General features: G+C 39.5%; 2 long non-coding RNA genes across 2 annotated transcripts in view; one reads left to right on the top strand and one right to left on the bottom strand.

The window, feature by feature from the left end:
* MIR217HG (MIR217 host gene) overlaps nt 1-6,215 on the top strand; it is an 83,921-nt gene extending 77,706 nt beyond the window's left edge. The window contains exon 3 of the long non-coding RNA NR_126406.1: nt 5,739-6,215. This is a non-coding gene — a long non-coding RNA (MIR217 host gene). The remainder of the gene's footprint in view (nt 1-5,738) is intronic.
* The window catches only part of LOC105374690 (uncharacterized), a 231,734-nt gene that overhangs the window by 207,937 nt on the left and 8,653 nt on the right, over nt 1-15,144 (bottom strand). The gene's annotated exons all lie outside the window — the stretch shown is intronic.

Genomic DNA, 15,144 nt, shown 5'->3' with positions numbered 1-15,144 from the left:
CTTTTTGATAAGTAAAAATATAAAAACTATTAAATGACCCCCGACAGCTTGTTTACTTGTGTTGAGGGGATTCCGATAGTTATTCACCATGATAAAATATTGTTCTTAAAATAATCAGAGGCATTTGACTTCATTTCTTTCTTTTTACTTTTAAAGCTTCAATTAAGTCTTTCATATTTTAATGTGATTTTTAAAACAAAATTAGGTGCTTAACATCGTAGAAGCATAAGGCCTTGAGGAAGCTACTTATACATGAAGAGATTTTAGTCAGAGAGAACTAGGAGAAAATTTCATCATAGCAATATAACCCAGTGTCACATGTATCAAGTCCAATTTTCAATTCATAAATAAGCCTCCCCCTCCCTTCCTCCAAAAACGTCCACCCCAAGCTAATTACAGAAGAAAAAGGAACATGAACACCAGCCAGAAAAGATTCACAGTTGCCACTCTTTAGTTGCTACTTTAATGGGAAACACATGTGCAAGATACCACCCAGGAGACAACTGACCAATGTGCTCTGAAAAATGGAATGTCACAAAAATGAGCCACACAAGATGGCTTACTCTATTGAATAGGCTGAACACATAAAAATGTTTGATACCATTTTGTTCTTATATAAATATGGGGAGGTCCTGAGATGAGATGCTGAGACAGAAATTAATTTGTAGCAACAAAGTTGAAAGGCAATGATTTAAATTAGCCCTCGCTTCTTATCTCATCCACATGCCCCACAATAGTTGACCATCATATTTGGAAAGTACTTAGCAAAGTTTACATGAGGAGAAATCCTGCAAAGAAATTGGAAGAAACGACAGAGTGGCGATTGTTCTTATTAAATAACAACACTAACACTCATTAGCTACCATCACTACAAGTAGCCAGTTCTGTTCTGAGTGCTGTATGCACAGCATCTCATTATATCCATAATTTACAGGGTAGAATTATCTCCACTGTATTAGTCAGCTAGAATTGCCATAAAAAAATACCATAGACTGAGTGGCTTAAACAACAGAAATTTATTTCTCATGGTTTTGGAAGCCAGAAAGTATGAGATCAAGGTGCCAGCTGATTTGGTTCCTGGTAAGGGTTCTCTTCCCGGCTTGCAAACGACCACCTCCTCGCTGTGTCCTCACATGGTGGAGGGGTGGGGGTGGTACGGAGAGAGATAGGGCGAAAGGGAGAGTGACAGAGCTCTCAGGTGTTTCTTCTGATAAGGGCACTAATCCCATCATGAGGTCCCCATCCTCATGACTTCATTTAACCCCAATTATCTCCTAAAGGCCTCATTTCAAAATACCAATACAGTAGGCTTTAGGGCTTCCACTCATGAATTGTCAGGGAGAGTCAGGGAGGAACAGTTAAGTTAATAGCATCCACTTTACAAATAAATGATGTTTCAAGAGAACAAGGAGTTCACAACAGCTCACTCTGTTGGCAATCAGCAGAGTTTGAACTTGAACCCAAGAGTATCAGACTCTAAGAGAAAAATATCTACTATTTATTGACTGCCCACTAAGTGTCAGGTGTATCTATACAACATCTCTATTCTCTATGGGAAATCAAGTTTTTCCCATTATTCTTCCGAGTTGTAGATATGGAAACTCTAGCCCCAAATACTTAACCAGCTATTCACAACCTACCATCTAAGCGTAACATACTGCATAAAATTTATCCTAGTGCTTATCAAAGTGAGGCCCCCATCATTACCTGGGAGCTAATTAGAAATGCACATTTTGGGACCAAACAGCAGACCTACCTAATCAGGAACTCTATGGTGGTGTCCACAATCTGTGTGTTAACATACCTTCTAGGTAAATCTGATCCATGATAAATTTTGAGAACCACTCGTTTGTTCTATAAATTTATTAAAATAACTAGTACTTTCAAAACTCGATAATAAGTGGTATATCCAGAATTCATATACAGGTCTGTTTGGTTCTAAAGCCTGTGGCTTTCTGCTATACTATACTTCTTCCATCCCAGCTTTACAAAGGGAAGATCTGTGATTGCAGAGCCCAGTTCTGAATTCTGCTTTGCTGCTGTAATTCCGATCAGTTCTCCTACCTATAAAAATGTGATACAGGGAAATGTCCAAGGATAATCCCTGAGAATTCATAACGCTGCTTAATACTAACCAAGAAACACCTTTGGTTCAAACTAGAAACCAAGCTTTGTGAAACTTTTATTTGGGCCGGACAATTTTGTGTTCCATTTAGTGTAAATGAGAAACAATCCAGTATACGGAAACAGTAAGTATGGAACAAAGTTACCTCTTTTAAAAAGAAAAAAAATAATTTTATCCCTCTTTGACTGTTTTTAATCATGTTTAATCCATCTAATTGATCATTGCTTTATCTACATGTTTTCGCTGTATAATTACACCATTTTCTCCCTCCAAGGAACAAGACCATATTATATCCCTTTATACAATCTTGATAATTTACACAAAGGAATAAAAATCTGCTTATAATAAAATGGAGATTTCTATTTCTAATTTTTGGAGTGGTAAATGAAGGTATCTGATCTCACACCAAGTGCCTTTTAAAATCATTCGCAAAATAAAAGCACTTTGAAAAGGGTTATTTCCAGTGCAAATATAGTCACCTGCTCTTGTGATCAATAAACCTCTAAAACATTATACTAATATTTACAGTATTAATGAACATGTGCACAAAGCCTTTTTACACGTGGTAAAACTCATTTAATCATCACACACATGTGAGGTAGCTTTTGGGATTATTCCCATTTCACAGATGAGGAAAATGAGAATCAGGGAGGGTAAGTAACTTGCCAGAGCTCCTTCAGCCAGGAAGTACAGGACTCTAGATATTAAGCTTATTAAAGAGCTCTTGCTGAACATTGATTCAGACACTGACACTTGGCTCTGGATGGATGGGCTCAGTGTTGCTCTGCATCTGGATTACTTCCAAAGGTCCATCTGTGAGCCTGCCTGACCCCCGGGATGGGGCGGCGCAGCCTTTGCAGCCTTGGCACTCCATCTGGAGAGACTGAAAGGGAACAGCAAGGTGGTGACTCAGTGGCCTTGACTGTCCCTCAGTCTCCTGGGAGACAGAGAGCAAAGTGATAAAGTGACAGAGTGGGAACTGTAGTTCTCGTTTCTCTATTTGTTTTCCACTTGATTCTTAAAAACAGACCTATTAATCATTTAGTTCATGACTGGTAATTCCACTGACTCCCAACACATTTGAGTCAATGAAGCAAAAACTAGAAAGTTGTGTGTTCAAACTTCTCAGATGGGAGAAGAATTAAAATCCTTTGAAAACATTTCACCGGCCAGCAGAAAGACTCACATGTTTTTCTGCTTCAGAGTTGTAGATGGATGTGACTTAAGCCCTAACTGGGAAAAACTTTGTGTGATTTATAACAGCAGATAGATATTCTGAGTAAGCTTCTCATACTCTTTTATTCCACCTACCAAAAACAAAAGCTGTTTTCAGCAGAGCCCAATGAGGTGAAAAGGGCTTTCCAAGGAAACTGTTGCGTGTGCTTCTTGATTCTGTCCTGATTTGGGAAGTTCATCTAAGCTGAAATTACTTTGTGGAGCTGACAGGAAGTTTGTCCAATGACTTTTGCCTTTCACAGCCCTGCTCTCCTTATCTCTACAGACACGCTTCCCACTTTCTTTCTTTTCTGGCTCCCTTCCTCCTTCCCTTCACACACACCTTCACACCTCCCATCTACTCTGATTGTATTAATTGATACCATAAAGAACACTGTTATAAAGGGAGGCACAAGTGTTGTAATATTTGAGGGGCTTTTAGTGCAGGAATTAAAGGCTAATACTTGGCCTGGCCAGACCTATCATTGCATGCTATGTCCAGACTCTCCAAAACTGTGAGAGCCTACTTTGAGTCCCTCTTTCATATCTTTGTAGCATTTGAGTTCACTGAATATGTTGGGAGCTTCAGATAGAAAAGGACCCTATCCCTCCCCTCAGGGAGCTGATGCTTGCCCAGCAGGGACAGTAGGTTAATGAGGAGCAAAGCTCTCCCTAGTTAATCTGGCTCCAAGTGTAGTGTGATGGGTCCCCTACCAGGTTACTTAAGGGTATATGTCCACTGCCTGAACCTTAAAGGCCAGGTGGTGAGCTAAGGCTGTCGTGCCCAGCCGAGGAGCAGGTGTCTCTGAGAACACAAACATACCAAGGAAAACAGTCCCATCACACAGGCACAGTAGGCAAAGAGCCAAATAATTAGCTTAAATGAGAGATGGGAAGTGGGATGAATCTCTAGAGCTGTCCTGCTGCTGCCCAGGAGTGCTCTGTAAGTAAGTCTTAATAAACCCATCTACTCACCAAGCTGGACTTGTCCAAAACATTTTGGTCTCCTGATACCTTCCCAGTTTGGGGGGTGGGTGGTGGGGAGGAAACATTACAGTCCTAAGTTTTTCTCATAACACCAAGTGGATTCATTTAGAAGGCAATTTCCTAGCAAACATCAAATTCACAGCTCTCCCTGGATCAAGAGTGGTAAGCTTTCTAGTAAAATGATCTGTTTGGAATCAGATCTACTTAAGTCTAAATCCCTTTTCTGCCTTGGACAAGTCACTGAATCTCATTGAGCCTCAGTTCTCTCTACTATAAAATGCAAATGACATCTAACTCAAGACTCTACATGAGGATTAAATGAGGAAATGTTATACAAAGCACATGGCATAATTCCTGGCAAACAGGAGATACTCAATAAAGGGTAGTTTCCCTTCTTCTTCCTTCTCTCTTCCCAGACCTCACAAGAAGAGGAGTGTGGCCTCTTAGTGAGATGATATAAAAGAGACTCTAACAATATTAAACACTTCAGTAGCACCTACTACATCCCAGGCACTATTCTAAGCACATCTGTATTTCAGCTCATATAAGTCTTCCCTAAAACCCAATAAGATAAGAGCTATTATCATCTCTACTTCATAAATGAGATAGCAGGTAACTTTCTGAAGTCACACAGTTAGAATGTATGTGATGCGGCTATGATTTGATCCCAGTTTATCTAGCTCTTAACTATCACATTATTAGGAAACAGATAGTGAGAGAGGTGCTAACTGTATCTGGAACTCAAGTACACAAAACAAGCAGTCCTCAGACAATGAGCTCTGTTTGATTTGCACAGTGTTTTAAAAATCAAGTCTATATTTCTGACTGCTCTCAAAAAAGTTGGAAGATCTGGCACTAGGCAGCTCACATACTGATGTGGCAACAAGCCTTTGACTGGTGGCTGCTGTCTGGACTGAGGTCCCCAGTTCACCAGTCTCCAGTACTCACAGTCGTATTACAGGGCCGGCTTCACTTTTGACCTGCACATACATTTGAGCTTGTCGTCCAGAATTAGGTAATGATGCTAAACCGTAAAGACACAAGAATCGTGTTCAATAACGTGCACCCAATGGTTAAAATGTTTGAATTAAATGAAGGAAAAAAATGAACGTAGGAAAGAGGTCTGCGTGAAAAGCAATCAACAACCAGGTTCAAACACAACCACGCAGAAAATGCCTGGATAAGCCTTTGAGCCCTATGTGCAGAAATTGTAAACTCCTGCTCTTTTCCATATCTCCACACCTAAATAAAAACCTGAAAATGCAAGTTTCCTTACAGTCCATGGAGCAAAGACTCTTTTGCCTTCAATGTTAAATGTGTTCCTCTTTGGCATAGCTAAAAGAGGGAGTTTAAATTTTCATGTACTACTTAACCCAAACAATATTTTTTTCTCTCTCTTTTTTTTTTTTAGCTCTTTAGGCCTTAATGATTGACATGATCTTGGAAAACAGGTATGTAGCAAAACTCTCCTAGAAACCTGAAAGATGTGGCAAGAAGAAAACATGGAGCCTTTTCTGAACAAGCCTATGAGAGAAGAAGAATCACTTCAATTTATTAAGTGTGGATTCTGGGGCTAAAGAACTTACCTACAACCACACAGCCAGCAAATTACTGACCCAGCATATTCTGAACCCAGGTCTTTATTCTTTCCAAAACTTCACAGCACCTTCCTCAGAGCATCTCTACATGAAAATCTGTATAAAGAAGTGATCTGTGGTGTCGCCATTTGTATCAAAATGGTATCACAAACTTATTTAAAAGGCTTCATCTAAAAGTCTTCAGAGTTTTGGCCAGGGAAGAGCTCTAATATCACACATTAATAACCTTACCTTTGTAACATGTAAATTGTTTTTTGTTTTAACATCTCAGTTTCATTAAACTGAGACCAGAAAGAGCCATCATCTTTTTACCAATTTGTAATCATTTTATTGTGTTATGGACCTGCAGCAATGCTGACTATATTTACAAATCTGTGAGTGAAATTTTAAAACCATTTTCCTCTTCTAATCTCTCCCATCCTGCCTTCTTAGAAGCACACAAAGCATCTCAACCACTCCCAAATTCCCTGTTGGAATACCCTTAATGATTCTGAAATATTTTGTTATTCCCCAAACACCTCCCTAAGACGAATCACTGGACTCCAGGCTCTTCACATTGCCAAGTTGAATCGAGTTCAAATGTTCTATCTAACCAAACTCTAACTTACAACAAAGCCACATATAGTAGATGATGTGTAAGATATTCCGAAAATACCAAGGCAACAGGGAAAAAAAATCTGTGTCATCAAGAGGTCCTCCCAGAACTTCTTGTAATCTAGAATAATCAATTTTGTCAAGCTCCTGTAACCTAATCATAGCACACATGTGTATATATGTATAACTAATAACATAAATCAACTTTCATTTTAATAATGTATAGCTTAAGTTTTCTCACATCCAAAACAATTAGTGTTGCCAAATTTAAGATTATTTCTCTACTTTAGACATCAGAACATGCACAAGGACTTGAGGAATAAACAAATCCAAGAAAACAATCTTAGCCTGATAAAGTAAAAATTTTGAATAAATTCATAAATCATTTAAAACACAATCTTGTTAAATTAGCTATTTCATAGTATGTTATGAATGTAAAAGCAGAACACAGAAAAGGCATTTTCCAAAAAGATATAGGACTTAGTAGGATTTCCTTTTATGTTAAAAAATGGCCCATGGAAGAGCAGTTTTCAGAATGACCAGGGCATAGTCAGACACCTCTTTCATTGGAAGCTTCACCAAAGGGCACACTTCTCCTGAACTCAGAGTTTTGAGTCCAGACCCAGCTCTTGCCAAAGTTCACTGGGAGTTTTGCTAAGCTTCAAGATGATCCCACCTGAAAGCTCTTTGGAGACAAAGTTAAGGTAAGTTCCCCTTAATATTTCCAGAACCATATGAACATATAAGCAAACTGTGTAAGGCTACGTAGAAATGATTGAATTTTAATTTTTTCAAACTACAAACACTTTAAAGACAAGGATTCTCCTCTATACTTATTTTGTAGTACTAGCACCAAGAATAATGCATAGTACATAGTTGATACTTAATAAATTCAATACTTGTATGAATAAACTGAAAAATTCTCACAAGACCATTGGGGGCAGTTCTACTAATCTCCCTGTAGCCCTGCAATTTTCAAAGGCTTCATCACGCAATTCCCCTCACAACTTTTTGGTTCACTAATCATAAAGCCACACGGACAGAAAGGAAAGAAATCCCAGAGACCAAAAAGCCGTTTGTTTTGTCCATCTGGTCACATATTTATAGCGTTTCAGAGCTAAAAGTGGTATTAGAAGTTGCCTTTGAACAGTCCCATTTTACATGTGAGAAAACTAAAGTCTAAGCTCTTGGGTGAAGTGACTGAGCCTTGATCACCCAGCTGACAAGCACCAAAGCACTTCCCGATATTATTTCCTCCATATTCCTCTGCAGTTAGCCCCCACCAACTCCACCAGAAAGTATTTGTAGACTTAGGTATTTCCTTTAAAAGCCTCAGATGACTTTACTTGGGGTGTGGTGGAAGGGACCACAATTTTATTATAATTTACCAATAGCCAGGAGTTTTGTTCCACTAAAACATATGTATTGACTGATCTGCTGAATCTTGCTTTGGGGGGAAGGTGTTTTTTTTTGAGCCCATCTGAAAATGTTAAATGTTTCATTACTCTTAGATTATTAAATGAATAACTCCAGGGAAAAAATGTATCATTGTTTCTTATGAGTATTAAGACAAAGAGGCAAAACTTTCCATTTGACCACAAGAGGGCAGCTACAACATTTCCTGCTAGGTCTTTGGGGTTCTGAACTACGATCAACTGGGCATTTGGGGACTCAGCTTGCCATAGACTCCCTAATAATACCTTTCAACTGAATTCCCAATATGTCACAAAACATTCTCTCATGGTGTTTCCTGGGACGGTTTTTGTTTTGTTTTTAAAGAAATTATTTTCCAACTTCTTTCCAGATCTACAGAGTCCTCTGCTTTAGAACTCTGTGCCAAAGTTACCATCTACAAAGATCTTTGGAGACCAATAAATTGTTAGGCTAATTAGAAAACCCACAGAAAATGTTTTATTTTAATTAAGTTTGACCCCAGATAAAAATAAAAACAGTAATGATTATCTGATTCCACCACACTTAATAAAGCTTGCTCTAAGTGCTTCACGGGATTTGCCAAATATTTGCCTCATCTCAGCCTTCATTCGTCATTCCCATTTTCATGATATCCTAAAATCTTTCAAGTCAAAATTTATTGTGGAATTTTATCACTGAGCTAAACGGTGGGAGGTCTGCAAATAAAAAAGCAGAGATTAGTAATAGCTACATTCCATATTCTTATAGTTGCACAAAAACATAAATTCAAACTTAGTTCATCTGTTAGGTGCATAAAGAGTGGGGAGTTAATTTGAAAAGTAAGTGCTAGATTTTATATGTATATATGTGCATGCATCTGTGTGTAGGTGTGGCTGTGTGTATATACCCATTAATTTTTTTTGTTTTTTCACTAGTAATTATATATAAGTAGTTTGGAAATTTACTATTGATGTTTGTAGATTTTGAAGATGTACATAGCGATGTATTTCCTTCACATTTACCGTGAAGCCTTTCCCTTAACCATCTTATTTAAAATTGCAACCCCTGTCCCCCCAATCCCCACATATCCTGTCCTCATTCCCTGTTGTATTTTTTCTCTTATCAACATTTGACATACTTTATATTTTACTTGGTTTTTGTTAGTCTCCTTCACAAATAACCCCTCCCCAACTAGAATAAAAGCCCTATGACGAAGACAGAATTTTTTCTATTTTGTTTATTGCCATGTCTTCAAATCTTACAATAGTGCCTGACACATCAGAGGAGCTCAATAATGCAGCAACATGGTAAATTCACAAAAATTGAAGCATTTTTACTAGAAACTGATATTTTAAAATCTCTAGCATTGCTAATTTACTTCAGTACATTTAAGGAGACCTCCTAAAAAGAGATAATAGCCCACTATCAGAACTGAAGCATATTTCCTAAAGCAAGTATCTGAAACAATACGTGGGCTCATGATTATGGCTGAGTGTATACTCTTGAATGCTTAGACTCAGCAGGTCCTGTTTCCCAGAAGTCAATCAGACCTGGACTGAATTCTCAGCAAAAGTGGCCTCCAAAAGTTGTCACAGCATCACACAAGCAAAGCAGTGGGATAAAGGAAAGAGTAGTGACCTATCAATAAGGAGCCCATGGTTCTAGTTCTGCCTCTGCCACTAGCTAACTAGGAGTTAAACCATCCATCTAAATTGTTAGTGCTTTGATGTCCTCTAAAAAATAATGGATATAACACCCTGTTTATATCAAAGAACTTTGGAATCCAGTGAAATGTGAAAGTATTTTGGTAAGTATGGACTATTTTTCAAGTAGAAGATGTTATTAAAATCAATGTTGCCTGTACTGTGCTATGTAATGCCACCATTTGGTGTGGCCAGTCAACAATTTAATGGTTTAATGAACAATTCTAGGCTGGATCCAGTTCTATCAGTCAAGTGATGGTTTGTCAGGCCCTTCTTGGTACTCTAACCCCTAGGCCTTCTTCTTGCCGCTGTTGGGTTTATTTGACCCCAGAAGCTCTGCCCCATCCTGCCTCTAGGATGAATCCTAAGTGGAAACAAAAGACACTAAGGGAGCTCTATCGCCGTAACGAGGAATTCACATCATGTCACCGTACTTAGTTAGTCCAGCCCTGATCATATGCCTCAATGCTGGTAACTGGGCATCTTCTTTCTTCTCCTTCTGATAATCAGATCAAGAATTCGCCTCCTCTTGAAAGCATTTTCACAGTAGGTATAAATATTTGCTAAATTAATGACAAAAAGACTTTACACCAGTGTCCCTCTTGGTTTAGAGCTCTGCCAGGTCCTTGTCAGTACGTCCTTTAATCCCCTACCTCTTCACTCCTGGCAGCCTTCCCTGATGCTGGCTGACCATCAGTAGCCTACACCTGAGAGCATCAGAAGTACAAGATATCTTCCTCGATTCCTACTGCCACATTCATCCACCTTTAGGACTTCTCACTTATTCCATTAGACTCTGTAAAGCCAGCTGCTTTTCTGATCCATGCTTGCTTGTCATACCCAGTGGATACCACCTTCTATTTGCCAACTGTTCTCTCTCAGGGTCTAAAACAGGTCTATATCCTCAGGGCCTGCCTCACTTGGTTCCTGTTCCAGCTCGTGGCTTAGCCATACCACAGGACCCTCACTGGGTTAACTGGAAAGATGCTGTTTAGTCTTGGCTACCATGGCAGAACCCTGACAGCACACAAAGCAGTGCAAGTAATATTCAACTTCAAAAAATGTTATCTTTCAAAAATATGCTTGCAAATAGATTCTCTAGCACTTGGGAATGCATGTCTCTACACCAACAACTCATACACTTCAGTAGTCATTCCTTCAAACACATTCACTGAGTATCTTCTTACTTTGCACAGTTCTTGGCACAGGAGAAGAGAAAGTGAGACACAACCTTGTTCCTCCAGAAGTTCACAGAAGAACAAAGGAGACAGTGATAGAAATGATACATATGCAAGGCAGCATTTGGAAAAATAGAGGACTATCCGCAGTACGGTGAGAACAAGAAAGAAGAGGTGAGCCCTCTGCCTGGGCGGATCAGGAAGGTTCCACAAAGAGACATTCCACTGAGGCCTAAAGAATGAGGAAGCATGCACCAGGCAGATGAGTGGAGAAGGGTGTTCCTGGTATGTGGTTGTCAGGTTGCCAGACCAACACCCAAGTGTCAATTTAACCCCAACTGTAGCTCCGCCAGTGCTGCAGGCTTATGTCAGAAACAGAAATGGGATAGGTTTTTGTAGGCCAGCCTGGGAATACTTGTTTCTGTTGGGAGATTAGCTCTAAAACCCTCAATAAAAGAGAGTTGGCCCTGGGCTTATGCCAACACATATGTACCCACTGCCACTACCACCACTCATCACCTTGGGCAAACAAGAAAAGCAGTTCAGTGTCAGGAGGAACAATTCTTGCACTTTCACTTTCTTTCACTAACTGATCTTGTGAATGCAAGGTCATGAGTAAGGCCTTTTGGGGACTGCACATACAAGACAGGTCCACACTCCAAGGAGCTTAACAACAGGCTATGCTAGGCCAGGTGCAGTGGCTCACACTTGTAATCCCAGCACTTTGGGAGGCCGAGGCGGGTGGATCACGAGGTCAGGAGTTTGAGAGCAGCTCGGCCAACATAGTGAAACCCCATCTCTACTAAAAATCCAAAAATTAGCCAGATGTGGTGGCACACACCTGTAGGCCCAGCTACTCAGGAGGCTGAGGTGGGAGAACCACTTGAACCCAGGAGGCAGAGGTTGCAGAGAGCTGAGATCATGCCATTGCACTCCAGCTTGGGTGTCAGAGTGAGACTCTTTTTAAAACAAACAAACAAACAAACAAAACAGGCAACAGGCTATGCAGGCAAGACCCGTGCATATAAAATAACTGAGAGTCCAAGGCAGTAGCTGCCAAAATAATGACACATTCTATAAGCACTACTGTCCTAGCCATCACTGCTTTCTGGAGAGAATAATTCAATTTAGTTGAAAAAGTGTTTTACATTAAATGCCCACTAAAAGTCTGTTGATTATGTAAGACTGCATTCTGAATTTCACAAGGCAGGATCCACCAAGTTCCATAAATGTAAATAAGTTTTCCTCCCAAAAGTAACAGGTTAAGTCAACTCTGGAAAGACTATGGGGAGTTTAATTAATAGGAATTCTGGTTTACTCAATACAAGAAACACATCAAACTGAATAGGTATGAAAAAGCATTTCCCACCAGTTGAAGCTGTCTGAATTAAAATGAACCGCCTTGGGAGGTAATAAGTTTCCCGTCAAGCTAGATAATTACTTGGCAGTGATTTGGTAGGGGTGATGCAAGCATTCAATGACCAGTAGGCTCCCTTCCAGTCCTGTGATTGTGTGAATTTCTGCAGCTCCCCCTTGATAACACAATAAAACCTGGGAACCCACACTGCAAGGTTTTCAATGTTGAAGATTAGCCATGGGTTAGGCTTATTCAGGGTACCAGAGCCTATTCTGAATGGTGGTGAGGAAACAGAGAATGGGAAGGTCGAACTTCTACCAAGAACCTGACCAAACTCCCAGGGTGCTAGTCAGTATCTGGGGAGAGCTTCAGAATGCCAAAACTCATTAGTGCTCAAAAAAGGTCATAGTTATTAGACAAGGGCACTCCATTATGAAGTCCTAACTAAAGAACTAAAAAAAAAAGCCCCTTGAAGACAAGATGTGTAGGATTCTAGAGTATTTTGAAAGGCTCTTCCAATGCTGACCCCTGAGGGTCCCTCATGAATGTTAGCACATCCAGATTCTTGGGAAACTCCAAGCAAAGCTGTTGTCAAAGATGTGCCCAAGAAGAGTGCCTCCAAAAGTAAACAAGCAGGAGATAGACAAGACAGTTATACAGGTCTCCTGAGTAAAGTATACAGGACTGAGATGGTGAATGCAGAAGAGGAGTAACAGCCTGAGGGGACCCGGACAACCAAGAAACTGGTTGTTTAAAATCCTGGCATCTTGTAAATTTGTTTGAGTTCATTGTTGATTCTGGATATTAGCCCTTTGTCAGATGAGTAGATGGCAAAAATTTTCTCCCATTCTGTAGGTTGCCTGTTCACTCTGATGGTAGTTTCTTTTGCTGTGCAGAAGCTCTTTAGTTTAATTAGATCCTATTTGTCAATTTTGGCTTTTGTTGCCATTGCTTTTGGTGTTTTAGACATGAAGTCCTTACCCATGCCTATGTCCTGAAAGGTATTGCCTAGAAAAAAACAAACAATCCCATCAAAAAGTGGGTGAAGGATATGAACAGACATTTCTCAAAAGAAGACATTTATGCAACCAAAAGACACATGAAAAAATGCTCATCATCACTGGCCATCAGAGAAATGCAAATCAAAACCACAATGAGATACCATCTCACACCAGTTAGAATGGTGATCATTAAAAAATCAGGAAACCACAGGTGCTGGAGAGGATGTGGAGAAATAGGAACACTTTTACACTGTTGGTGGGACTGTAAACTAGTTCAACCATTGTGGAAGTCAGTGTGGCGATTCCTCAGGGATCTAGAACTAGAAATACCATTTGACCCAGCCATCCCATTACTGGGTATATACCCAAAGGATTATAAAACATGCTGCTATAAAGACACATGCACACGTATGTTTATTGCAGCACTATTCACAATAGCAAAGACTTGGAACCAACCCAAATGTCCAAAAATGATAGACTGGATTAAGAAAATGTGACACATATACACCATGGAATACTATGCAGCCATAAAAAATGATGAGTTCACGTCCTTTGTAGGGACATGGATGAAGCTGGAAACCATCATTCTCAGCAAACTATCGCAAGGACAAAAAATGGTCTCACTCATAGGTGGGAACTGAACCATGAGAACACACGGACACAGGAAGGGGAACATCACACACCAGGGCCTGTTGTGGAATGGGGGGAGGGGGGAGGGATAGCATTAGGAGACATACCTAATGTTAAATGACGAGTTAATGGGTGCAGCACACCAACATGGCACATGTATACATATGTAACGAACCTGCACATTGTGCACAAGTACCCTAAAACTTAAAGTATACTGAAAAAAAAAAAAATCCCAGCATCACGCAGTACCTCAAAGCAAATTGCAAACAATGTCATTCGCTGAGCTCCGGGTATCCTGTCTCTGAAACGATGCCACTGTGTAAGAAAAACAGCCCATGTTTGGATCCCTATTAAACCAATTCTGGGCTCTGTAACTGATACAGGTTTTAAACTCCCATGGGCTTCAAAAATCAGGGGACTGAATTAAAATTTTTTCACAAAGTCCCTATAAGTCCCTTATAGATCCAACTCTAGGATCTATAATCCCCATACACAAAAGAGAACATGTTATAGGAGAAGAAAACAGTTACCAGCAGGTCATTCCAAAACATGCTGGAAGAAACTAAATAAAGCAAAAAATCTTGATTTTTGATTTTGTTTCTATGACTTCTCATTTTTTTCCATTTTGTGACTAAACTGTGGTTTAAGTAGTTAAGCCAAATGAATAGAAGCGAAACCAATATACTACACACCAGCAGCATTCTTATTTTTGTGGAGAAAGAAAACAAATATGTGCTATTTGATCGTGTAAGAAAGATAAATCTACCAAGCTTCCACAGACAAAGCCCATTAAATCAATAGGGGTCTGCCCAGTGCCCAGGGAAACCCATCAAGAGCAGCCAAATTATTTCGTTTTTTTTTTTAAAAAAGCTATCAACTTAACATTACAAATCATTTGCTGTTCTCAAGAGAATTGCCTAGTATTGCAAAACTTGATAATTACTGATTCATGACTGATTTAGGAAAAACATCGGCTTAAGTAATCAGGCCAGAGTACTGCTGCTGACCGCAAGGCTGGCAGGAAACCTAGCTTTTCTTTCATGAATGTTTAACATTTTACAAAATTTAGCTTTTAGCATATCACCACTGGTTTGATTTTTCAAAAACCTGGGAATACAGAACATACCAGTTATGTATTATCAAGCACCTATCTTTTCTCTAACTTTTCTTCAAGTATCACTAACCAGAAACGCAGTGAATTATGAGAAAGTGATTCAGAAATCAGACTTGACATGGACTGTTTGCTATAAAATGGTAGATCTTAGACTCTTTGAAAGAACTCTACAGACACTATAAACTGACAGTACATTCTGTATAAAATAGCAGGAAGAATTTAATTAATG

The sequence above is a fragment of the Homo sapiens genome, chromosome 2, assembly GCF_000001405.40.
Source record: "Homo sapiens chromosome 2, GRCh38.p14 Primary Assembly".
Classification (NCBI taxonomy): Eukaryota; Metazoa; Chordata; class Mammalia; order Primates; family Hominidae; genus Homo; species Homo sapiens.
The sequence above is the reverse complement of the archived record's forward strand: the minus strand, read 5'-3'. Positions and strand labels throughout refer to the sequence as shown.